At 39.3% G+C, this 26,686-nt stretch overlaps 2 annotated features.

Annotated features, from left to right (window-relative positions):
• Nucleotides 22,499–22,699: a silencer, noted in NCBI's record as "peak6183 fragment used in MPRA reporter construct". NCBI's record gives its function as "represses an SCP1 promoter by STARR-seq MPRAs in K562 erythroleukemia cells {active_cell/tissue: K562}" and the evidence as "EXISTENCE:reporter gene assay evidence [ECO:0000049][PMID:32103011]".
• Nucleotides 25,499–25,699: a silencer, noted in NCBI's record as "peak6184 fragment used in MPRA reporter construct". NCBI's record gives its function as "represses an SCP1 promoter by STARR-seq MPRAs in K562 erythroleukemia cells {active_cell/tissue: K562}" and the evidence as "EXISTENCE:reporter gene assay evidence [ECO:0000049][PMID:32103011]".

A 26,686-nucleotide genomic window follows, 5' to 3' on the forward strand; every position in this document is an offset into this window, starting at 1 on the left:
CATAGATTTGACTCTTCTGGATCATTTAAGTGGAATTATACAATATTTGGTCTTTTGTGACTGACTTCTTTCACTTAACGTAATATTTTTGAGGCTCATTCATGTTGTAGCATTATAAGTAATTTTTTCCTTTTCATTGCAGAATAGTCTTTCATTGTATGGATATACCACCACATTTTATTTGTTCACTCACCACTTGAGGGAAGAGTGAATGGTTTCTGCTTCTTCACTATTATAAATAGTGTTGCTGTCAACATTTATGTGCAAGTCTTCATGTGGGTATATATCATCATTTCCCTGGGTCAATATCCAGAAGTGGAATTGCTGTATTGTATGGTAAAATTATGTTATTGTTTTTCGAGACAGGGTCTCACTCTGTTGCCCAGGCTCGGGTGCAGTGGCAAGATCATAGCCTACTGTAGTCTTGAACTCCTGGGCTCAAGCAATCCTCCCTCCTCATTGTCCCAAAGTGCTGGGATTACAAGCATGAGCTACCATACCAGGCAGTTAATTTATGTTTAATTTTTAAAGAAAACTGCCAGACTCTTTTGAAAAATGGCCCTATCATTTAAAATTCCCATCAGCAGTGTAGAGAATTCCATTTTCTTCACATTATTGCCCACACTTGGTATTGTCTGACTTTTTGATTATAGTCATTCTAGTGGGTGTGAAGTAGTATCTCATTGTGGTTTTAATTTCCATTTTCCTAATAACTAATGATGTTGACCATCTTTTCATGTGAATATTAGCTACTTGCATATTTTCTTTGCTGGTATGTCCATCCATTCTTTTGTCTATTTAAAAAATTGAGTTTTTTAAATTATTGATTTGAAGAAGTTCCTTTTTATATTCTAGATACTAGTCATTTGTTAAATATATGGCTTGAAAATATTTTCTTCCATTCTGTGGCTTATCTTTTCAATTTCTTTTTAAAAACATTTTAACATTTATTTTATTTTTTAGAGGTGAGGTCTCACTCTGTTGCCCAGGCTGGAGTACAGTGACATCTTTTTAGCTTGCTGTATCCTTGAAGTCCTGGGCTAAAGTGATCCTCCTGCCTCAGCTTCCCAAGTAGTTGAGGCACATGCCGCTATGGCTGGTTAATTTTAAATTTTTTGTGGAGACATGTCCTCTCCATGTTGCCTAGGATGATATTGAACTGCTGGCCTTAAGCATTCTCTCTCCTAGGCCTCCCAAAGTGCTGAGATTACAGGCATGAGCCAAGACAGCCTGGCCCTTTTCATTTTCTAAATGGTGTCTTTTGAAGTGCAAGAAGGTTTTGACTTTCTTTTTTTATTTACTTATTTTTTTTTTGAGACAGAATCTCCCTCTGTTGCTCAGTCTGAAGTGCAGTGGTGCAATCTTGGCTCACTGCAACCTCTGCCTCCCGGGTTCAAGCGATTCTTCTGCTTCAGCCTGCCTAGTAGCTGGGACTACAGGTGCGAGCCACCACACCTGGCTAATTTTTGTATTCTTAGTAGAGACGAGGTTTCACCATATTGGCCAGCTGGTCTTGAACTCCTTACCTCATGATCCACCCGTCTTGGCCTCCCAAAGTGCTGGGATTACAGGCGTGAGCTACCGCACCTGGCCAAAATAATTTTTTACTTTTAATTTTTGTGGGTAAATAGTAGGTATATATATTTATGGAGTACATGAGGCATTTTAATACAGGCATGTAATGCATAAAAATCACATCAGAGTAAGTGGGGTATCCATCATCTCAGGCATTTATTCTTTGTGTTACAAACCAATTATACACTTTGAGTTATTTTAAAATATACAATAAAGTTATTATTGATTATAATCAACCTGTTGCACTACCAAATACAAGATTTTATTCATTCTTTCTCAGTGTTTTTTGTACCCATTAACAATCTCCATTTTCCCCCCATCCCTTCACTATCCTTCCCAGCCTCTGGTAACCATCCTTCCACCCTCTATCTCCATGAGTTCAATTCTTTTTATTTTTAGCTCCCACAAATAAGTGAGAACATGCAAAGTTTGTCCTTCTGTGCCTGGGTTATTTTACTTAGTGACTTCCAGTTCCATCCACGTTCCTGCAAATAACAGGATCTGAATCATACTCCATTGTGTATATGTACCACATTTTCTTTATCCATTCATCTATTGATGAAAACTTGGGTTGCTTCCTGATACAATTTGGCTCCGTGTCCCCACCCACGTCTTACCTTGAATTGTAATAATCCCCATGTGTCAAGGGCAGGACCAGGTGGATGTAATTGGATCATGGAGGCAGTCTCCCCCATGCTGTTCTCGTGATAATGAGTGAGTCTCATGTGCATCTGGCATTTCCCCTGGTGGCACTCACTCCATCCTGCTGCCCTGTGAAGAAGGTGCCTGCTTCTCCTTTGCCTTGTGCCATGATTGTATGTTTCCTGAGGCCTCCCCAGCCATGTAGAACTGTGAGTCAATTAAACCTCTTTCTTTATAAATTACCCAGTCTCAGTTATTTCTTCATAGCAGTGTGAGGATGGACTAATACACTTCCAACTCTTGGGTACTGTGAATAGTGCTGCAATAAACATGAAAGTGCAGATATATCTTTGATATACTGATTTCCTTTCTTTGGGGTATATGCTTAGCCACAGGATTGCTGGATTGTATGATACCTCTATTTTAAGTTTTTTGAGGAACCTCCAAACTGTTCTCCATAGTGGTTTTACTAATTTACATTCCTACCAACAGTGTACAAGTTTTCCCTTTTCTCCACATCCTCACCAGCATTTGTTATTGCCTGTCTTTTGAATAAAAGCCATTTTAACTGGGGTGAAATAATATTTCATTGTAGTATTGTTTTGCATTTCTCTGATGATCAATGATGTTGAGCACCTTTTCAACAACGTGTTTGCTATTTCTATGTCTTCTTTTGAGTAATATCTATTCAGATCTTTTTCTCATTTTTAATTGAATTATTAGATTATTTCCTATAAAGTTGTTTGAGCTCCCAATATATTCTTATTAATTCCTTATCAGATGGATAGTTTGCAAATATTTTCTCTCATTCTGTGGGTTGCCTCTTCACTTTGTTGTTGGTATCTTTTGCGGTGCAGAAGCTCTTAACTTGATGTGATCCCATTTGCCCACTTTTGCTTTGGTTGCCTGTGCTTGTGGGGTATTACTCAAGAAATCTTTGTCCACTCCCCAATGTTTTTATTTTAATAGTTTGATCATTTGAGGTCCCAGATTTGAGTCTAGATTTAAGAGTTTTCTCAATGTTTTCTTTTAGTAGTTTTGTGGTTTGAGGTCCTAGATTTAGGTCTTTAATCCATCTTGGTGAGAGATAGGGGTCTAGTTTCGTTCTTCTGCATATGGATATTCAGTTTTCCCAGCACTATTTATTGAAGACTGTCTTTTCACCAATGTTCTTGGCATCTTTGTTGAAAATGAGTTCACCAAAGATGTATGAATTTGTTTCTGGGCTCTCCATCTTGTTCAATTGGTCTGTGTATCTGTTTTCATTCTAGTATTACACTGTTTTGGTTACTATAGCTCTGTGGTATAATCTGAAGTCAGGTAATGTGATTCTTCCAGTTTTCTTTTTTTTTGCTCAGGATAGCTTTGGCTAATCTAGGTCTTTTGTGTTCCATATAAATTTTAGGATTCTTTTTTCTATTTCTGTGAAAAATGTAATTGGTATTTTTATAGGTATTGCATTGAATCAGTAGATTGCTTTGGCTAGTACAGACATTTTAACAATATTGATTCTTCCAGTTCATGAACATGGAATATCTATTATTTTGTGTCCTCTTCAATTTCTTTTATCAATGTTTCATAGTTTTCATTGAGAGATCTTTCACTTCTTTGGTTAAATTAATTCCTAGGTAATTAATTTTATATGCACTTATTGTAAATGGGATTACTTTCTTGATTTCTTTTTCAGATTGTTCACTGTTGGCAAATAGAAATGCTACTGATTTTTGTATGTTGATTTGGTACTACCTTGTACTCTATTGATTTGCTATCCTACAACTTTACTGAATTTGTTTGTCAATTCTAATAATTTTCTGGAGGAGTCCTTAGGCTTTTTCAAATATAATATCATATCATCTGCAAACAAGGATAATTCGATTTCTTCCTTTCCAATTTGGATGCCCTTTATTTCTTATTCTTGTTCGACTGCTGTAGCTAGGACTTCCAGTATTATGTTGAATAACAGTGGTGACAGTGGGCATCCTTGTCATGTTCCAGATATTAGAGGAAAGTTTTTCAGTTTTTCCTCATTCAGTGTGATACTAATTATGGGTCTGTCATATATGTCCTTTACTATGTTGAGGTATGTTCCTTCTATCCCCAGTTTTTTGAGGGTTTTTATCATGAAAGGATGTTGAATTTTATCATATGCTTTTTCAGCATCAATTGAAATGTTCATATGATTTTTGTCCTTTATTCTGTTGATATGATATATCACATTGATTAATTTGTGTATGTTGAACCATCCTTGAATCTCTGGGATAAATCCTATTTGGTCATGATGAATGATCTTTTTAATGTGTTGTTGAATTCGGTTTGCTAGTATTTTGCTGAGGATTTTTGCATCAATATTCTTCAGGGATATTGGTCTATGGTTTTCTTTCTTTCTTTTCTTTTCCTTCTTTTTTTTTTTTTCTTTTACTTTTTTGATGTGTCTTTGTCTGGTTTTGGCATCAGGGTCATACTGGCACCATAGAATGAATTAGAAAGTATTCCCTCCTCTGTTTTTTAGAATAGTTTGAGTAGGATTGGTATTTGTTCCTCTTTAAATGTTTGGTAGAATTCAGCAGGGAAGCGAAGCCATGGAATCCTAGACTTTTGTTTGCTAACAGACTTTGTATTATGGCTTCAATCTCATTACTTGTTATTGTTCTATTCAGGTTTTGGATTGAAGAACTTCCTTTAGCATTTCTTGAAGGACAAGTCTGGTGTTGATGAAATCCCTCACCTTTTGTTTGTTTGGAAAAGTCTTTTTTTTTTTCTTTTTGAGACGGAGTCTTGCTCTGTTGCCCAGGCTGGAGTGCAGTGGCATGATCTTGGCTCACTGCAACCTCTGCCTCCTGGGTTCAAGCGATTCTCCTTCGTCAGCCTCCCAAGTAGCTGGGATTACAGGTGCCCACCATCACGCCCAGCTAATTTTTGTATTTTTAGTAGAGACAGGGTTTCGCCATGTTGGCCAGGCTGGTCTCGAACTCCTGACCTCAGGTGATCCACCCACCTCAGCCTCCCAAAGTGCTGAGATTACAGGCGTGAGCCACAGCACCCGGCTGGAAAAGTCTTTATTTCTCCTTCATGTTTGAAGGATATTTTTTGCCAGATATACTACTCTAGGGTAAAAGTTTTTTTCTCTCAGCCACTCTCTCCTGGCCTGTAAGGTTTCCACTAAGAAGTCTGCTGCCAGATATATTGGAGCTCCCTTGTATGTTATTTATTTCCTTTATCTTGCTGCTTTTAGGATCCTTTCTTTATCCTTGACCTTTGGGAGTTTGAATATTAAATGCCTTGAGATAGTCTTCTTTGGGTTAAATCTGCTTCGTGTTCTATAATCTTCTTGTACTTGAATGTTGATATCTTTCCTTAAGTTTGGGAAGTTCTCTGTTATTATCCCTTTGAATAAACTTTCTACCCTTATCTCTTTATCTCTTCCTCTACCTTCTCTTTAAGACCAATAACTCTCAGATTTGCCCTTCTGAGGCTATTTTCTAGATCTTGTAGGTGTGCTTCATTCTTTTTCATTCTTTTTTCTTTTGTCTCCTCTGACTGTGTATTTTCAAATAGCCTGTCTTCAAGCTCATCAATTCTTTCTTCTGCTTGATCAAGTTTGCTATTAAGAGACTTAGATGCATTCTTCAGTATGTTAATTGCATTTTTTCAACTCTAGGATTTCTGCTTGATTGTTTTAAAATTATTTCAATCTGTTTGTTAAATTTATAATAGAATCCTGAATTTCTTCTCTGCATTATCTTGAATTTCTTTGAGTTTCCTCAAAACAGCTATTTTGACTTCTCTGTCTGAAAGGTCACACAGCTGTTTCTCCAGGATTTGTCTTGGTGCTTGTGGATGTTCATCGGAGTCTGGGCACTGAAAAGTTTGGTACTTATTGTAGTCTTTGTATTCTGGGCTTGTTTGTGTCTGTCTTTCTTGGGAAAGCTTCCCAGGTATTTGAAGGGACTTGGTCCCCAAGCCCAATAATCCCGTGGTTCTTGCAGACTCATAGAGGTACTGACTTGGTGGTCTTGGATAAGATCAAGTATTCTCTGGATTACCAGGCAAGAAACTCTTGTTCTCTTCCCTTACTTTCTCTCAGACAGAGTCTCTCCCTCTCTCTTTCTCTTGCTCTCTCTCTCTCTGTCTCTGCTGAACTGCCTGGGTTGAGGGTGGGGAGACACAAGCACCCCTGTGGCCACCACCACTGGGACTGTGCTTGGTCAGATCTGAAGCCAGCACAGCACTGGGTCTCACCCAAGGCCAGGTTTAACCCCTACCTGGCTACTGCCTGTGTCTGTTCAAGGCCCTAGGGTTCTATGATCAGCAGGTGGTGAAACCAGCCAGGCTTGGGTCCGACTCTTCAGGGCGGCAAATTCTCTCAGGTCCCAGGCAGGTCCAGAGATGACATCCAGCATCCAAGGTCCTTCTCACTATTGCCTCCCCTTTCCACAGGCAGGTGGCACTCTCCCTGTGGCCACCACCACCACAGTCCCATGGGGGTACTGCCAAGTTACCACCAATGTTCACTTAACAACCAAGGCATACAATCAGCTTTTGATGAATGCTGCTAGGTCTAGGACTCACCCTTCAGGGCAGTGGGTTTGCCTCTGGTCCAGGGCACGTCGGAAATGCTGTCCAAGAGCCAAGGCTTGGAATTGGGGACCCCAAGAGCCTACCTGGTGCTCTAGCCCACTGTAGTTGAGCTGATACCTGAAGCCAGCACATCTTTGAGTCTCACCCAAGGCTCACGGCTTACTACCCGGGTATTGCTGCTGGTTTTTGAGAGCCCAAGGGCTCTTTAGTCAGGAAGTGATAAATCCTGCCAGGACTGGGTCCTTCCCTTCAAGGCAGCAGGTTCCCTTCTGTCCCAGGGTGTGTCTAGACACATTGTCTGCGAGCTAGGACCTGGAATGGGGGCCTCATGACTCTGCCTGTTGCCCTATCCTTTAGTGGCTGAGCTAGTATCCAAGATACAAGACAAAATCCTCTTTTCTCTTTGCTTTCCTCTCTTAAGCAGAAGAAAGGAGTCACTTTTGTTGCTGCAAGCTGTGCTGTCTGGGGTTGCCGGAGGGGTGGAGCAAGCACTTCCTTAGCTACCCTGACTGGTGTTCCAGGTCCACTGGCTCTATGTCCAGCACAGCACTAGTACTTGCCTAGGAATTGCAGTTCTTGTGGCCTAGACTGCGTTTCAAGTTTATTTAGGACCTCAGAGCATTTTAGCCCTTGACGCTTGCCAAAGTCAAGTTCTGACTGCTGGGATGGGTGATTTCCCTCTGGCTAGGGCTGGTCTAGACTCTCCCTTCATAGGCAGGTATCAACAGAGTTTAAACTGGTTTTGCTTTCCACTGTGACAGGGCAGCACTGAGTTCACAGCAGGGTCCCACAATCACTGTGCTCTCCCTCCTTCAGGCGCACAGATTCTCTCTCCATGCCATGCAGTCCTGCCAGGGGATGGGGAAAGGGTGGTGTGAGCAATTCAAGACTGTCCTTCCTACCCTCTTCAGTGCCTCTTTCAGCAATTTAAAGTTAAAACCAGGTTCTGTGGTTGCCACCTGATTTTTGTGTGTAGATATTTGTTAAATTGGTGCTTTTTGTGTGTAGATAGTTGTTAAATTGGCATTCCTGTAGGGTGGACAAAGGCTTCTATTTGACCATGTGGTTCAGCCCTCTTCCTTGATTACTGCAGTTCTATATGATGTTTTGAAGTCGAAAATTTTGTTTTTGTTTTATCTTTTTGCTTTTTAAATCATAGCCACCACTTGGTATGGCTTTTCTATTTCCTTTCTTGCTGTGAGCTCCCATACCTGGTTGCTATTAGGGTAGCCAATTATACAATTCTCTCTTCTTTTTAAAACCAGCTCATCTTAATTATATGCTTTGGTCTGGAAACCAAAAAACAATGTTTTATGTTGATACAATGTCCCCACCATGTATAGGCTACCAGCACAGACAGAGGATAGAAATAACAGCCCCTGATAGTTTTGGAATGGAGAATATGCTATCTCACTTACTCCCATGTTGACATAGAAAGTTCATAATAAAGGAAGTGATTGTCTTACTTTATTCTCTGGTCATACCTCACCGGGGGTACTGAATTTTTATCTGGACATCATTATATGAGTTTTTCTAGTAAACACAACTTGCTCTCCCTCTGGGACATGAATTTTATCCCCATGTAAAGCTCTGTGCTGCTGATAAAGTTGTCTTTACTCCTTGCTTCTGACCAATCAGGATATTGCACTCCTTTGCTGACAGTGATTGGTCCAGGAGAAAGCATGTGACACATTCGGAGCTACTGAGATGCAGTGAGACTTTTTCTGGGATTTCTGAGAGATTCCCATTCTTCTGTACTAGACTTGAGGTTGTAAGAAGGTAAGCCTGGACCTCTTTAACCATCTTGCTATGCTGAATGAAATGCCTGCCTAGATATAGACCCTTCTTAGGAGAAAACAGAGCTGAGAGAGAAAAGAGACAATGAATCTTGATTCTGGGGGTCTTCTGTGAGCCCCTGTATCAAATCATGCCTTCAATGAATCTTACTCTGGAGATTTAAACCGTGCAAGCTAGCTTAAACTAGGTTTTCTGTCACATGCAACCAAAATAGTTTTAATTGATTCACACGGTTTAAGAGAGATACTGATAAATTAGAACAAGCCCAGAAAAGAATGGCCAGGGGGTGAGTGTGATCAGAATTGTGTCAGAGGGGGGAAATTGAAGGCTGTTTGGCTTGACGGAAGGAGGTCTAGTGTGTATGTGTCCCAAGAGACAAAGAATGTTAATGATGCGGGGGTGGATACTAAACATAGAGTTATTTTCCAATATGTAAGAGGGTTTCAGTGTAGAGAGTGATTAGATTTGTTCCATTGGGCTCCAGGGAGATAAATTGGAATTAATAATAGGAAGATCCTGAAAACAGATTTCAACTAAGTCTTAAAATTTTAACAGTTTAACGTTTCCTAAAATGGAATAAATTGCACTAATAATACGTCTGCTCTGTCTAGAAGGGTTTTAAGTGACTTATCAGAGATATTGCAGAGTGGATTCAAGCAACTCGATGGATGATGCTTTTGGAACTTCAATTATTTGAATATGAACTTCACAATTTTTTGCCATATGATAAAGACACAAGTTGTACCACTTTTGGTTTAATATTTTCTTTGCATCAGCTCCCTTTTATGTCGAAGTAAGTTTATTTTAAGATGAAACTTTAAATCACTACTGTAAATGAAAAACAAGTACCAATGACCAAAAATAAATAAAATAAAACAATGGGCCAGGCGCGGTGGCTCATGCCTCCAATCCCAGCACTTTGGGAGGCCGAGGCGGGCGGATCACAAGATTAGGAGATCAAGACCATCCTGGCTAACATGGTGAAACCCTGTCTCTACTAAAAATACAAAAATTAGCTGGGCATGGTAGTACGTGCCTGTAGTCCCAGCTACTCAGGAGGCTGAGGCAGGAGAATCACTTGAACCTGGGAGGCGGAGCTTGCAGTGAGCCGAGATTGTGCCACTGCAGTCCAGCCTGATGACAGAGCCAGACTCCGTCTCAGAAAAAAAAAAAAAAAAAAAAAAGTTATTCATATCGAAATAGCAAAAATATACCTGTGATCTAGTTTCTCTTTGTTAAATGAGAACTTAATAGTTGAAGCTATGATAACACACTGATCATTTCTCTTTCTCTGTTCCAATGGATTGAAAGACAATTGAATGGGAAATGATCTCACTAAGCAATTCAACGTTTGTAATATCATGCCTATGTGCTGCCTGAAATCATCAATCTATTCACACATTCTGAAAGCCCACAATATGGGTGTGATTCACACCAGCGCTTCCTAATCTTTTCACAACTTGTCACACAGAACTATATTTGTTGGCACACTGGGGTAAACTAAGGCAGCTGCTCATCATGTGAGTTAACTGGCCTAAGGGAGTTAACTCTAGCCCAGGCAGCACCCCCACCCCACCTGTGGCAGAGGAGATGGATATATTGTCACACTGGTAAATGTCCCAATTAATGTTCCATTAAGAGTTCTTTCTATGAGTCTATAGTTCTATACTATTAACTCTTTTAAGTTTCTGCTTCAAACACTTTCTTTGAAGTAATTTCTTTTTGAATATATGTCTGAGAGCTCACAGGCTGGCTAAAGACCATCTCTGCACCTTCTGGAAAATTCTCTTGGTATCTCCCTTTGCACATACAACAGAGGAGCAGCCCTGAAATCAAGTTGCTACGCTACAACAGAAAAACAAATCCCCCTTGCTCCCTGACCACCAAATGAAACCAAAGACAGCTTCTTGGATTTATGCTACCCTTTTCTCTAAATGACACACTGGAAAATCTGACTCAGTAAATAAGTGAGTGTGTGTTTAAAGAAGCCCTCCTCACAATCCTTCTAATCTTATATGTAGAAATGCACTTTAATTCTGAAAACAACTGGTTCATTCTAAACCAAAGAGACAATCAGGTAGAGCAAAATTGTGTTTAAGAGCAGTAGCTGGGGCTACCTTATTTGGAAGAATTTGGAGTGTTGTTTGGGCTGTCTGCAGCTCTTTGGAGAACATCTGATACCAATTTACAGATTCCATGATTCATTAAAGGATTTTGGTTTGTTCCTATTCCTTTAGTCCTCTGTAGTTATCCTAAAGATTTCCCCACAAACAGATTTCAGTATTTTCCTGAATGGAGACGTTATTTCTCTGAGTTTATTTGTGTGTGTATGTGTTCTGCGTAGTCTTTTTTTTTTTTTTTTCTAGTTGTGGTGATTTATGTTACTGGTATGAGTCTTTCAAGTTCCTTTCTTGGGTGGGAGATCATTTTTGGCTTCAAACTAGAATGTCCCAGAATAACTGCTGGTTAAAAGACTCTTTTTGTGTTGCAATTTTAAGGAAGTCTCATGGTTGAAGCTGAGATCTATCTATAGACACCAAATAGAGTAGGAATATTTATATCCCTGATTTCTGCTCAAGGATTCCCATTATTTCAAAACACATTTAGCCCAATTCTCCACTCAAGCCTGGAAGAAGCAAAGCGGTGGGTGGCATCTAACGACATTACAGTAAGAGGCAGGATCGTAATTCTCAGTACATTTCAATCTCCTGGGGACCTTGTGTTAAAATGCAGATCCTGATTCAGAAGGTTGAGAACTGGGCCTGAGAAGTTTTTTTTCTAATGGATTCCCAGGTGACGCTGGTACTGCTGGTCCATATAGTATTTCCCAAATTTGCCTGAAGCTGATTCACCTGGGGTGGTTGTTATATAGGCAGACTACCAAATCATTCCCTTAGGAATTCTGATTCAGAAGCCTGAGCTGAGGTTCTTAATAACCCTTCCTTCCAAGAGCTCCTCCATCCTCTGGTTCCAAGCTAGTACTTCAACGGATTTTATGGTACTCCTCTGCTACTCCAGGCAGTTTCCTCCTCTGTTCTCCTACCTCCCACTCCTCTCCTTTTCTTCCTTCCTTTTTTTCCTTGCTCAATATTTGTTGGGCATCTCCTGCGTTAAACGCTGGGACAGTTCTGAATAAAAGCGCTAGTCCCTGCCCTTGTCTAGTAGGGGAAACAGACAATAGTCAAGTAAATAGGCAGATAAACAGGAGAATTACAGTTTGTGACGTTGCTGGTAATTAGCGACTATTTGGGGCTGGAGGCATGGCAATAAGAAGAATTTACCAAGACAGTTGTAGGTAAAGAAAAGCAAATTTATTAGAGAAAGCACAAAAATCTGTTGCAAGGGTGCAATGGGCAGGTCAGCAAAAAGGAATTGACTGCAAAGAGACAAAGGCTTGCCGGGGATTTTATAGAATGGTGTTTGTGCTGTGTGCTGAAGACGGCTTTGTGCAGTATCGATAATGCCAAGGTTGCAGTGAGCTAACTTGACTTCTTCTATCACCCAAGGGTCGCTAGGTGCAAGAAGATTGTGAATTATTTGCACAGGAGGGCTATGTGTCCTGCACATGAAGAAAGGCAGGCTTATAGCTTATCTGCCTTCTCCTTTTGCTTTCCCTAGGTCCTGCCAGCCCAACTCCCCCTCCCTAATTAGGACTCCACATGTGATACATGTTAAGAAGGAAATAAATACAGCGATGTGCTGGAGAGGGATGGGGAGGAGGTTTGAAACTAAACCAGCGTCATCAAGAGAGCTCTTCCAGGAAGACAGTTAAACTGAAATTCATATCCAATACTCCAGCCTAAGCCACACTACTTGTTGAATGTGCCCTGTGTTTGGGAGACCTACTGCCTTCATTCATGCTGTTTCTTTCACCATGAGTGGCTTCTCACTGATTCAATTTGCAATTATTTAAAGACCAACCTAAATGCCATCACTTTCACCCAGGTTTCCCAGCATATGTGAAATCTCTCCCCACTGAGCTCCCAAAGCACCTGCTATACTTCCATTCCTGTCTAGATCATTCTGCCTTAAACTGCAGTTGCCTTGTGATGTGGGTGCATTTTGTGAGCACACACTGTTTACCCACATTATCTCAAACTATTCAATAACACTGGTAGGTTATATTATTATCTACATATCATAGATAAAGAAACTGAAATTTGGGGAAGCTAAGTAACTTGCCTGGAACTACAGAATAAAGTGACGGAGCCTAGATTCAAGCGATGACCTCCCAGTTGATCTGTTTTATCTCCCGTAGTAGGCCTTAAGCAACATGGAGGAAGTATTATATCTTTGTATCCTTAAATTAAAAAAAAAAAAATCAAGTTGCAGAAGAGCGCTTGCATTTGTGTATCATAATGGAGAAAAGAACAAAAGAAGAAAACAGAATTCCCCTCCCATCTTGCATAAGTTTCCCAGGGCTGCTGTAACAAAGTACTCCCGACCGAGTGGCTTAAACACCAGAAATGTATTGTCTTGCAGTTCTGGAGGCTTCAAGTGTGAAATCAAGATGTCAGCTGCTCCATGCTCCCTCTGAGGACACTGGAGAGGTATCTGTTCCAGGTATCTCCTGGTTTCTTGTAGTTCCTTGGTTTGTGGCAGCATAATGCCAGTCTTCATGTGGCAATTTCTATGTGTGAATCTCTGTGTTCATATCTCCCGTTTTTATAAATACATCAGCCATATTGGCTTAGAGGCCCACCCTACTGACTTTATCTTAACTAATCACATATGCAACAACCCCATTTCCAAATAAGGTCACATTCTGAGGCGCTGGGCATTAGGACTTCAGCATATGGACTTTGAGAAAACACAATTCAGTCTCTAACATTCTACTGTGTAGCTTCTATCACAATGCTGATCCCTAAACCAGGGAACCTGATGTAGTTTTCCTATTTGCCTTATCCTAAAGGCAACACTGCAGAGGGGTTAAATGATCAATTTAGACAAGTTCAGGAGCTCAGTTCAAAATAATGGTCTCCACAATTTTTGTTTAACAAAAATGAATACACAAGTTCTGTATATCCATACAAGGAAATATTACAAAGTGAGTACACTTTTACATATAATTTATTGAGTTTTTATTATGTACCAAGCATTGTGCCAAATGTTTTAAACATGTAATCACAACAACTCAATGAGGTAGGAATAACTAGCCTTATTATACAGGTGGTGAAGCTGAGTTTTGGAGTTCAGTAACACATACAGGGTTACCAAAATTGAAGCTGGTTTCTGTCTTCAGTAGATTCAGTCAATCATGAAAGCAAAAGAGGTCACCTGCACAACATGAAAAGCTTGGTTTGCTTTAAGCTGTCATAACCTGTAATTCTGTCTGTCCCTCACTAAAGAGTCAGGCCATTACTGTGTATAATATTACAATACCTACATATTAATTTGATAATACTTAAAAGACTTTACAAAAATTATTTCAAAATGGGATAAGCTTGGTAAGTTTCACTAAGTTTTTGCAGTAAAAAAATGAAATACTATCATCAATAAATGTTGCTATCAAGAAGGAGGAAGGGCTAATAATTTAAGAAGGCCTAAATGAGAATAGGCTCAGACACAGTATTTCATAATGCAAAATATGTTAGAATGTTGCAAAGTCAAAAATTTAAATATAAAGTTCAACCAACCACAAGGCACAGGTCACATGAATATTAAGAGTATTGAATTGGCTGAGCATGGCTTTTGCTTAATAGATTGCAAAATTCCTGGGGACAGGGATTCTCCCATCTGAGATACTCCCATCTGACTCATCTTTGTATCCCTAACAATGTCCAGGACATTGCATATAACAGGTTTTAACACATTAAATTAAATAATTTTTTTAAAAAGTGGCTTATCTTTCTTGACAGAGACAAGCAGCATTTAAAGTTAAAAGAAAGATGGGTAATGTTTTATCATGTGTCAGAAATTGTTTGAAGTTCAATCAGAGAATGAGACAGATTCTATTATCTCCATTTTAGAGATAACAGAACAGAAAGATTAAATAGCTCTCACAACTGGAAAGTGGTAGCAGTAGGAATCCACACCTGTGTTGTTGACATTTACAGTTCACATTCTCAACCATTGCACTATAGTGGCAGATAACATGACCAGCAAACAGCCAGAGCTTTGTTTTCTAAGAAATTCGTCAACTGAGATGTTTACTAGCATCAGCCTATCATCAGTAGTGTATAGGATGTTTACTATCATCAGGAGTGTACAACTCCTGTTAGAATTCAAGAAATACAGTGTAGGGATTAAACACTCTTATTTTTGCCATTACTCTAGACCTAAGTTTAAACTCTGATTTTGACACAGCTTGGCTGTGTAACCTTGTATGTGTTATTAAACTTCTACAAAACTCAGCCTCACCACCTGTGTAATAAGGTTAGTTATTTCTACCTCACTGAGTTGTTTGATTACCTGTTTAAAGCATTTGGCAGAATGCTTGGTACATAATAAAAACTCAGTAAATTATATGTAAAAAGTATACTTATTTTGTGATTAATATTTCATTGTATGGATATACACAATTTCTTTATTCACTTTTGTTAAACGAAAATTGTGGAGGCCATTAATTTGGACTGAGCTCCTGAACTAGACTCCAACAGACCAGATCAAACCAAAATGGAGTCACTCATACTAAATGCTACATAATCAAGTTGAAACTTAAAGGAAGCAGATAGATCCCAAAACAAACCAGTTTTCCTGAAAACAGGAGATTCCAGTCTAGCTGAGCCAGCATAATAAGGAAGTCCCCTCTGCTTTAATCCTTACCAAAAAAACGATTTTTTTTTTCTTTTCTGTTTTCTTGCTCTCACCTTGCAACCCCCACTGTTGCTCAGTGGAGCTCTCATTCTATTTCGTAGAATGAAGGTTACCCTGATTCGTAAGTCAAGAATAAAAGCCAATTAGATCTATAGCTAAATGTGTTATAATGTTGTCTTTTGACACTGTTGATGTATGTTTGGATTGTTTCTAGATTTTGACTATTACTCATAAAGCTACTATGAACATCCTTGTTCAAGTTTGTACAGATGTATGCCTTAATTTTTCTTGGATAGATACCTAGTGTGGCATGGGAGATATATGTTTAGTTTTTAAGAAACTGACAAAGTGGTTTCCAAAGTGGATGTACTGTTGTACATTCTCACTGGCAGTGTATGAAGTTTCCAATTCTTCTACATCCATGTCAACACTTGGTGTGGTGAGTTTTATTTATTTATTTACTCACTTATTTACAGAAATTTTTATTGTGAATTAAAACACTCCTAAAATTTATTATCTTAACCATTTTTAAGGGTACTGTCCAATAGCGTTAAGTATACTCACGTTGTTGTGAAACACATCTCTAGAACTTCCTCATCTTGCAAATCTGAACCTCTCTATATATTAAATAACAGCTTCCACTTTGTTCCCTCTCCCCAGCCCCTGGCAACTATCATTCTTTCTGTCTGTAAGAATTTGAATACTTTATTTATTTATTTATTTATTTATTTTTGAGAGGGAGTCTCACTCTGTCGCCCAGGCTGGAGTGCAGTGGCGTGATCTCAGCTCACTGCAACCTCTGCCTCCTAGATTCAAGCGATTCTCCCGCCTCAGCCTCCTGAGTGGCTGGGATTACAGGTGTCCGCCACCATGCCTGACTAAGTTTTGTATTTTTAGTAGAGATGGGGTTTTGCCATGTTGGCCAGGCTGGTCTCGAACTCCTGACCTCAGGTGATTCACCTGCCTCAGCCTCCCCAAGTGCTGGGATTACAGGTGTGAGCCACCACACTGGCCTGAATTTGAATATTTCAGATACTTCATGTAAGTGGAATCATGCAGTATTTGTTCTTTTGTGACTGGCTTATATAACTTAGCATAATATCCTCAAGGTTCATTCATGTTGTAGCATGTGTCAGAATTTCCTTCTTTATTAAGGTGGCATCATATTCCATTGTATGTATATTCCACATTTTGTTTATTCATTCATGTGTCAATGGACATTTGGGTTCTTTCAACCTTTTGGCTTGAAGAACCTGATGTAATGGTCATACTCATTATTGAATATGATGAATAATGATGCTATGAACCTGGATGTGTAAATGTCTTTGAGATTCTGCTTTCAGTTCTTTTGGATATATACACAGAAGTGGGTTTGCTGCATCACACAATGGTTCTATTTTTATTTGTTTTAGTAACAACTATACTGTTTTCCAAAGCACCATTTTACAACCATAGTAACCATGCACAGGGGTTTCACCTTCTCCACATCTCTGCCAACACCTGTTATTTTCTGTTTTTTTTTTTTATAGTAGCCGTCCTAAAGAGTGTGAGATGATATTGCGTTGTGTTTTAATTTGTATTTCTCTGATAATTATTGATATTAACCATCTTTTCATATGCTTATTGGACATTTGTATATGATCTTTGGAGAAATTTTACCTGTTTGTTAATTGGGTTATTTGATTTTTTTGTTGTTGTTACATTGTAGGAGATCTTTATATATTCTGGATATTAACACCTTATCAGACATATATGCTTTGCAAATATTTTCTCGCATTCCATAGGTTGCCTTTTCCTTCTGTTAATTGTGTGTGTGTGTGTGTGTGTTTTTTTTTTTTTTTTTTTGACCAGATTCTCACTGTGTTTCCCAGGCTGGAGTGCAGTGGCACAATCATGGCTCACTGCAATCTCAAACTTCTGGGCTCATGAGATCCTCTTGCCTCAGCATACCAAAATTCTGGGATTACAGGAATGAGCCACTGTGCCCAGCCTTGATTGTGTCTTCTAATGAACAAAAATCTTTAAGCCTGATGTATCCCTATTTGTTTTCCTTTTGTTGTGTGTGCTTTGGGTGTTAAAATGATTTCATATCAAAGAAATCATTACCAACTCCAATGTCATAAAAATTTTCCCTGTGTTTTCTCCTAGGAGCTTTATAGGTTTAGGTATTACATTTAGGTCTTTAATCCATTTTGAGTTAATTTTTGTATATGGTATAAGATAAAAGTCCAACTTTTTTTTTTTTTGTTTGAGACAGGGTCTTACTCTGTTGCCCAGGCTGGAGTGTAGTGGTATGATCATACCTCACTGGGGCCTTGAACTCCTAAGCTCAAGGAATCCTCCCATCTCAGCTTCCCAAGTAGTTGGAACTATAGGTATGAGCCACCAAGCCCAGCCTCTAATTACTTATTTATTTTGTTTCTTTTTCTTGCCTAATCACACTGGCTAAAACTTCCAATACTATGTTGAATGGAAACAACAGGAACAAGCATCCTTGTCTTGTTCCTGATCTTAGAGGAAAAGCTTTCAGTCTTTCACCCTTGAATAGGATATTAATGATGAAATTTTCATATCTGGCCTTTGTTATATTGAGGTAGTTTCATTTATTCTTATTTCAATGAGTGATTTTATCATGAAAGTTTGTCGATCTTGCCAAATGGGGTTTTTTTTGCATCAATTGAGATAATCATGTGATTTTGTCCTTTATTCCGTTAATGAGTTGTATTACATTTATTGATTATCATATATTGAGCCATAGTGTATTCTAGAAATAAAAACATCCTTTGGTTATGGTACATTATCCTTTTAATATGCTATTGAATTCAGTTTGCTAGTATTTTGTTAAGGATCATTGCATTAATATTCATCAGGGATATTGGTCTTTAGTTTTCTTTTTTTATGGTGTCTTTACCAGTCTTTGGAATCAGGTTAATAATATTGGCCTCATAAAATGAGCTTGGATGTGTTCCTTCTCTTTAAATTTTTAAAGAAAAAGTTGGAGGAGGATTGTTGTTGATTATTTTTCAAATGCTTGATAGAATTATTCGGTGAAGTCATCTGATCCTGGGCTTTTCCTTATTGGGGTTGTTGTGGGTTTTTTTGTTTTCATTTTTGTTTCTGAGAGAGTCTCACTCTGTCACCCAGGCTGGAGTGCAGTGGTGCAATCTCAACTCACTGCAACCTCTGCCTCCTGGGTTCAAGTGATTCTCGTGCCTCAGCCTCCCAAGTAGCTGGGATTACAGGTGCTCACCACCATGCTCAGCTAATTTTTGCATTTTTAGTAGAGATGGGGTTTCACCACATCAGCCATGTTGGTCTCAAACTCCTAGACTCAAGTGATCTTCCCATCTTGGCCTCTCAAAGTGCTGGGATTACAGGCATGAGCCACTGCACCCAACCCTGCTTTTTTTTTTTTTTTTTTTTAAGAATATTTTAAATCTTGTCCTTAGAAACTATAAAGATTGTACATGATTTGGAAGTGAGACTGTACCAAACAATGGCCACTCTACGCCTTCTCTTTTGTCTGGTCCCTCAGAAATATAATGTTATCAGCTATGATTGCTGCCTCATGTTATTTGTATCCAAGTATTCACCATAGTTTACTTCCTTCCCACATAAATTCTAGACCTCTTTTTCATATACTGATGTGCCACACCTCTCAGGCTGGGTAGGAATACTGATGTTCTGCGCCGTGTTGACTTTTGACTGGCGTATCCATTTCAGCTAGGATTTCAAGACACTACGTCACCTATTATAGAAAAACTCCTTTCCTTTCATGGTCATACCCTAATAATCATCTTCCTAATTAGCTCTTTAGTACTGTACATTATTTCCCTAATATTAACAAGTAAATTAACCCATCTAAGCACCCATTTCGTATACCTCACTTTCCCTTGATTGCCATATCTCATTTGTGGGCAGAGAAAATGTGGTGACTAGATTTTTTTTCCCCCAACTATTAAATCACAGGGTCTTGGCCCACTTGCCAAAGTAACTGCACATGATTCAGAGATCTTTCAAAAACCAAACTGCTGGATATTTTGGACTCATGTCTTACAAACTGATGAAGCATCTGCAATACAGATCTTCAAAACATGACTTCTGCTTTCTTTTCTTACAATCCAATCTTTTGTCTTTTTCTGATGCTCTAGCCTGGACAGCCTCAAGCCAGAGGATCTGTTGGGAGGTGTTTAATTACTGATTCAACCTCCTCACTAGTTATTGGTCTGTTCAGATTTTCTTTTTCTTTATGATTCAGTCTTGGCAGGTTGTGTGTTTCTAGGAATATTTCCATTTCTTCTAGGTTATCCAATTTATTGGCATACAGTTGTTCATAGTATTCATTTTGTCTTAGTCTGTCTTTCATGGCTATAATAGAACACCTGAGGCTGGGTCATTTATAAAGAAAAAAAGTTTCTTTAGCTCATGGCTTTGGAAGCAGGAAAGTCCAAGATGGTGGCCACATCTGGTGAGGGCCTTGAGCTGCTGCATAGCATGGCAGATTAAGGGGAAGGGGAAGAAAGCCATGTGAACAGAGACAAGTACAAAGGGCTGGGCTGGGGCTGGCTTTATATCTACTTGCTTTTGAGGTAACTAACCAAGTTCCTAGAGAATAGCATTAATCCATTCATGAGGGCTCCACCCCTGCGACCCAAACACCTCCTACTAGTACCCACCTCCCAATACTGTGCATTAAGGAATTAAGGTCCCAACACCTGAACTCTTGGGGGACACAGTGAAACCACAGCACTCTTATAACCCATTTTATTTCTGTGGCATCTGTTGTATTATCTCCTATTTAGGCCAGGCTCGGTGGCTCACGCCTGTAATCCCAGCACTTTGGGAGGCCGAGGCGGGCAGATCACGAGGTCAGGAGATCGAGACCATCCTGGCTAACACAGTGAAACCCCATCTCTACTAAAAATACAAAAAAAAAAATTAGCCAGGTGTGGTGGCGGGCACCTGTAGTCCCAGCTACTCAGGAGGCTGAGGCGGGAGAATGGCGTGAACTCAGGAGGCGGATCTTGCAGTGAGCTGAGATGGTGCCACTGAACTCCAGTCTGGGCAACAGAGCGAGACTCCATCTCAAAAAAACAAAGAAAAAGAAAAAATCTCCTATTTCACTTCTGATTTTAATTATTTGAATCTTCTCTCTTTTTTTCCTTAGTTAATCTAGGTAAGGGTTTCTCAATTTTATTAATCTTTTCAGCTCTTAGCTTCATTGATCTTAGCTTCATCGATTTTTAAAATAATTTTTCTATTCTCAATTTTACTTATCTCTGCTCTAATCTTTATTATTATTTCCCTAAGATGGTAAATTTTATGCTATATTCCTTTTTTTTTTTTTTTCTGTGACAGGATCTTATTCTGTCACCCAGGCTGGAGTGCAGTGGTGTGATCATGGCTCACTGCGGCCTCAACCTCCCTGTCTCACGTGATCCTCCGGCCTCAGCCTCCCAAGTGGCTGGGACTATAGGTGCGCACCATCATGCCTGGCGAATTTTTAAAAATGTATTGTAGAGACAGGGTTTCTCTGTGTTGCCCAGGCTGACCTCAAATTTCTAGGCTCAAGTGATCCTCCTGCTGTGACCTCCCAAAGTGCTTGGATTACAGGCTTGAGCCACCATGTCCGGCCCTCAATGATCTTTTAATTCTAAGTGTAGTCATTCAAAATTCTTTAAGAATTCAGTGTGGGTATATTTGTCTCCTTTACTTTACATGTTCATAGCTCTCAAATGTTGGTACCGATCTGCTATTGTAATTTTGAGTCAATTATTCTCACTTTTCTGTAGAAGAAGCAGCATTATCAAGGGACTGAAGTTTGACGAAGAGATATGCTCGCAACTATTTTTCAACTTGACTTTTTCATCGTCACGTTTTCAAGTATTCATCCCACCAAAAAAGGTTGTAGTATGAAATGATACTGTTCTCTTAATTTTTTAAAAAGATAGCATTTATAACATTATTGTAGATATTCATATGTTTAACTTCAGAGATTTATTTTTCAAGAGCTTTATTTATCAACAATAAAACCAGCAATGATGTTACACTACCTCAGATGGCTTTAGGATGCTAATTGTGTTGTTGAAATTATACAGTCTAAACCACAGATGTGACTACTTTTACAGTAGCACTTAAAAAAAATCTAAAACCCCTCTTTGTTAAAACAAATGAAACCTAAAACACTACTGTGTACTGTATAATAGATAACAAAAATATTTCAAGACAATTAGACTTAGGTGCAATGTGAAATACATTTTTCTCTTTGGTTCTTAATGATTACCAGTGTCAGGTTCTTCTCTGTTTTTGCTTTGAAAACCAGAAATTCCCTTTCTTTCATCTAATTATTCCCATTATAAACTATATCACTTTGAACACATAAAGTAACTCCAACTCCACACAGTGGCTTCATCTGCAATTTAAATCTCAATGTCTCCCATTATTCCTGTTGAAGACTATTGCTTCAATGTAATTTATTCAACGTTTTTATTCAAAAGATATTATTAATTGCACATCAAACTATGTGCCAAGGCTCTATACCAGACACAGAATAGTGAATGGGAAAAACGTAGTCACTCTTGTGGAATTTATAGTCTAACTGGGAAGATGGATATTGAAGAAGCAATTATAAGGTTGATGAGTATTACAATAAAAGGGATTTAGAATGTTTGTTATGGGAATATTTCTTTTCCCTCTGGGCTTCAGGAGAATAAACCACTGGGTTAAAAAATATGACTGTATTTCCTCTCTAATTTCCTACTCCTGGCAACCCAAAAGAAAGATTTCACATAGGGAGTATCTGTATTAAGAAATAGAAACAAGTCCCTATGAATAATTTTTTCTTCCTTTTTAAGAAAATAGAAACATCCCTTTTAGCATGAGGCATATTTCTAACTTACAGCTGCTCACTCATAAGATTAGGTATTTATAACAATTCTGTTAGTTTTTTCTAGGTGGCTATAGCTGTTCTTCACATTTTATAAACTATTACTGTTTGGGAGATACTTAGAAACAACCTCAAAAAATGATTGCATTCTTAGTTTTTAAATAATAGTTAAGGCAGTTGTTAGGTCATATCTACAAATGGGTTTCATGAGAGACTTGAAGAGAATTTGTTGGTCTTAGATTTCTTGAAATGCCTGGGAGCTCTTAGAGAAAAGACCCTGTTGACTCTAAGGCCATGTTTACAAGTCAACAGTACAAAAGCATTTTTGCTATGAAAGTCATCTGGTGGATCTACAAGCACAGTTCAGCCTGACAGGGAATAAGTAAATGAATGACTTGATATCTTCCATAGAATCAATGGGCCAACCTCAACCCCAGTGTTAACAGCAGCTCAAAAGGGTAACCTAGCATTATCTTTTAACCAGGACTAGGCCAAAAATAAGATAAGTTACAGATTTACATGGAGAATCCTAATAGTATTTATGACAGGCCCAGAGACCAGCCCATTTATGTGAGTTCCTTTTTTTCTGTCACCCTCGTTCACAGAAGAGGGGAGTGGGTTTTGGCACTCAAGTCTTCCCCCAAACCCAGCCTCCTAACATCCCTGCTATAAAGGGAAGAATCTGTGAGACTAAGTTAGCATTTCTATAGAATTCATACATATTTTGACTGACAAGGAAAAAAGACAATAGACCTGGAATAATCAGGCTGTGCATTTGAGTGAATGTCAACTCCTTATGGTAGAAAGAGCCCTGAACTGGCCAGGCACGGTTAGCTCATGCCTGTAATCCCAGCACTTTGGGAAGCCGAAACTGGCAGATTGCATGAGTCCAGGAATTCCAAACCAGCCTGGGCAACATGGCAAAACTCCTTTTCTATAAAAATATTTAAAAATTAGCCAGGTTTCACGGCACGTGCCTGTGTCTCAGCTATTCAGGAGGCTGAGGCAGGAGGATCACCTGAACCTGAGAAGGTAGAGGCTATGAGCCATGATCACACCACTGCACTCCAGGCTAAGTGACAGAGGGAGACCCTGTCTCCAAAAAAAAAAGAAAAAAAAAGAAAAAAAAAGCACTGAACCCTGGGAAATGGGAAAATCTCTTAATTTCTCTGTCTCTTCTTGTTTTGTTTGTTTGTTTGTTTGTTTGTTTTTTTAATGGACTGAATTAGAAGGCATGTTCGTTCATACCTGTAATCTCAGCACTTTGGGAGGCTGAGGCTAGGAGTTTGAGACCAACCTGGGCAACATAGCAAGACCCTGTCTCTACAAAAAAATTTAAAAATTCGCCAGGCATTGGCCAACATGGTGAAACACCATCTCTACTAAAAATACAAAAATTAGGCAAGCATGGTGGCATGCACCTGTAGTCCCAGCTACTTGGGAGGCTGAGGCAGGAGAATTGCTTGAACCTAGGAGGCAGAGGTTTCAGTGAGCCGAGATTACACCACTGCACTCCAGGCTGGGCAACAGAGCAAGACTGTCTCAAAAAAAAAAAAAAAAAAAATTAGCCAAGCATGGTGACTTGTGCCTGTAGTCCCAGCAACTTGGGAGGCTGAGGGGGGAGGATCAATTGAGCCAGACAGGTTGAAGCTGCGGTGACCCATGATTGTGCCACTGCACTTTAGCCTGGGTGACAGAGCATGACCCTCTCTCAAAAAAAGAAAAAAAGAAAAAAAAGGTTTAACATCTGACATCTTAATAATTTGAGATACTTTTAAAATTCAGATTCTGATTAGTGGTCTGGGATGGGAATGGGGTGGAGGTAGGTGGGACTGGGGTTAGGGATAGGAGTGTGGATTGAGATGTGTTTTCTAAAAGCTCCAATCATGATTCTGCTGGGGGACCAGTCATGTTCTACTCTAAAATGCTCAGGGATGATTTCAGGAAACATAGGTAATAGCCACAAGTAATACACTTGTACTACCTGTACAAGTATTGCACTACATGAAGTTTTACAACCTGTGCTGAAAATATAATATTTGTTGTTCTTTCCTCCTATCTCCCAAAAGCTAATCTGGTTTGACCCCAGGATTATAAATAGTAATCACAATGATAAAGTTAATAATACTATAATTTACCATACGTCAAACACTGATTTCAAAATTTCATATCTTCATATAAGACTCTTTACAGTGCTGTGGGATACAGTATGACTATTAGCCCCATTTTACAGATGAAGAAACCAAGGCAAAGAGAAGCGAAGTAACTTACATATGACAACAGTATCACGCATAGCAAAGTATACCAGCTAGATTCAGGCTGGCTTAGGGAAACTTTCTGTCTGGAGAAACCCAAGTTGCTTCCCTCTAACATTGGGTGGCAGCGCGGTTTTATGCAAAAAGGCTAAGGCATTGGCATGAGACACTTATTCAAGGTCTGGCACAACCACTCACTAGCTATGTCAACTCAGGTGACCTTCCTTCACCTTGCTAGGTGTCTTCATCAGCTCAAGCTGCCATAGCAAAATACCATAGGTTGGGTGGCTTAAACATCAGAAATTTATTTCTCACAGATCTGGAGGTTAGGAAGTCCAAGACCAAAGTGCTGGCCAATTTGGTACCTGGTGAAGGGCTTCTTTCTAGTTTGAAGACAGACACCTTCTTGCTATATCCTCACATATCGGGGAAAGAAAGGGCTCTGGTCTCTGGTCTCTCCCTCTTTTATAAGGGCACTAATTCCATCATGAGGGCCCCACCCATATTGAGGCAGGAAATTAGGGTCTGGAGGCACGGAACATAAGGCCGATTCACACTTCAGCTGTGACAGGAAATATCCTCTCCACAGGGCATTCGCTGAGCAAACGACTTTGTAACTTTATTTCATCCTGTCCATTTACATGAGGTGTACACCAAGTAAACAATGGAATCCTCTGGAGGGTATTTAAACCCCTACAAATTCTGTAATGGTGCCCTAGAGCCCCTATGCTTGGGCCCGCTCCCACACTGTGGAGTGCACTTTCATTTTCAATAAATTTCTTCATTCTTTCCCTGCTTTGTTGGTGCGTTTTGTCCAATTCTTTGTGCAAGGTGCCAAGAACCTGGGCACCCTCCTCTAGTAACATTATGACTTCATTTAAACCTAACACTTCCCAAAGGGTCCCACCTCCAAATACCATCCCATTGGGGATTAAGGCCTCAACATTGAATTTGGAGAGACACAAACATTCAGTGCATTGCACTAAGATTCAGTTTCTTTATCTGCAAAATACGTATCACACCTATTTATAAGGTTTGAGAATGAAATAAGATGTTTATAGGCATTAGCCCAGGCTCATAATAAAACCAAAGGAAAACATTCAAAATAGGTATTGACTATGTATCAGGTACTTTTGAATAAAATGTTAAGAATGAAAATCACTTATTGAATACTATGTCTTCAGAGTTATGCTAAATGGGTTTATGTATTATATTCGTTTAATCCTCCATCACTCTTATGAAGTAGGTATGATGAAAACTGAGAGGTTGAATATTTTCCTGATGTCACAACTGGCAAATGGGAGCGGAACCTAGAGCCAGGGCATGCGCTCTGAGGTGGTCTGTGGTCTCTTCTGTTTAGACAGAAATATGCAAACAATTACTTAAATGTTCACAAAATAAATTTAAATGGATTTCTACTTAAAATAGTAGGAGAGAAATCCTCCTACTTAGGAGAGATTCCTCTAGTAGGAGAGGAATCCTTAGGAGAGATTCCTCTAATAGGAGAGAAATGCTCTACTTAAAATAGAAGGAGAGAAATCTGTTTTTCACCTTTATGGTCACCTTCTCTGCTGAGTAAAAATTGGAATACATGCTCTTACAATGGGACAAGGTGGCCAAAAAAGAACCCCGGAGTCGAATTCTCTTTCTTGCCTCTCTCTTCCTTCTTTGATGTCAGCCTTCCACTCTTGATGCCTATTCCTCCATGTTTACCCAAGGCCAACTTTGAGGGAGGAAACGTAGCTGTGAAAGCACTGGCCGGAGGGCAGCATTCTTTTCCAGTGCTAGAATTCTTTAGTGTATGAGCTGTCACCCAGCCCCTGGTTTTCTATCTCTGATTAGTCAAAGGGCTGTAGAAACATTTATACTCTCTCCTCTGGAAGAATTCTTCGGCACACTTTCCCACCTACATCCCAGCTTGAACACTGAAGGAACATCATGCTTAAACAGAGAAAAGCTTAGTTTTAGGGGAAACTGATAGACAAGCTGGGATTGAGTTTCCTTTTTAGGAACATTTTCTAGATTAAAGAAAATCAGTTCTACTCTTAATATGTTAAAAATGTGTCATGTGTTGGTTATGGAATTTGTGGGAAAAACTCAAGATGGTATTGAAGTGTTCTAAAGAAACTGCAGCGTCATCACAAAACTATACAAGTGATATTAGAAACAAAAGCTCTGACAGAAAAACCTCCTTTCA

Source organism: Homo sapiens, chromosome 6 (assembly GCF_000001405.40).
Source record: "Homo sapiens chromosome 6, GRCh38.p14 Primary Assembly".
NCBI lineage: Eukaryota > Metazoa > Chordata > Mammalia > Primates > Hominidae > Homo > Homo sapiens.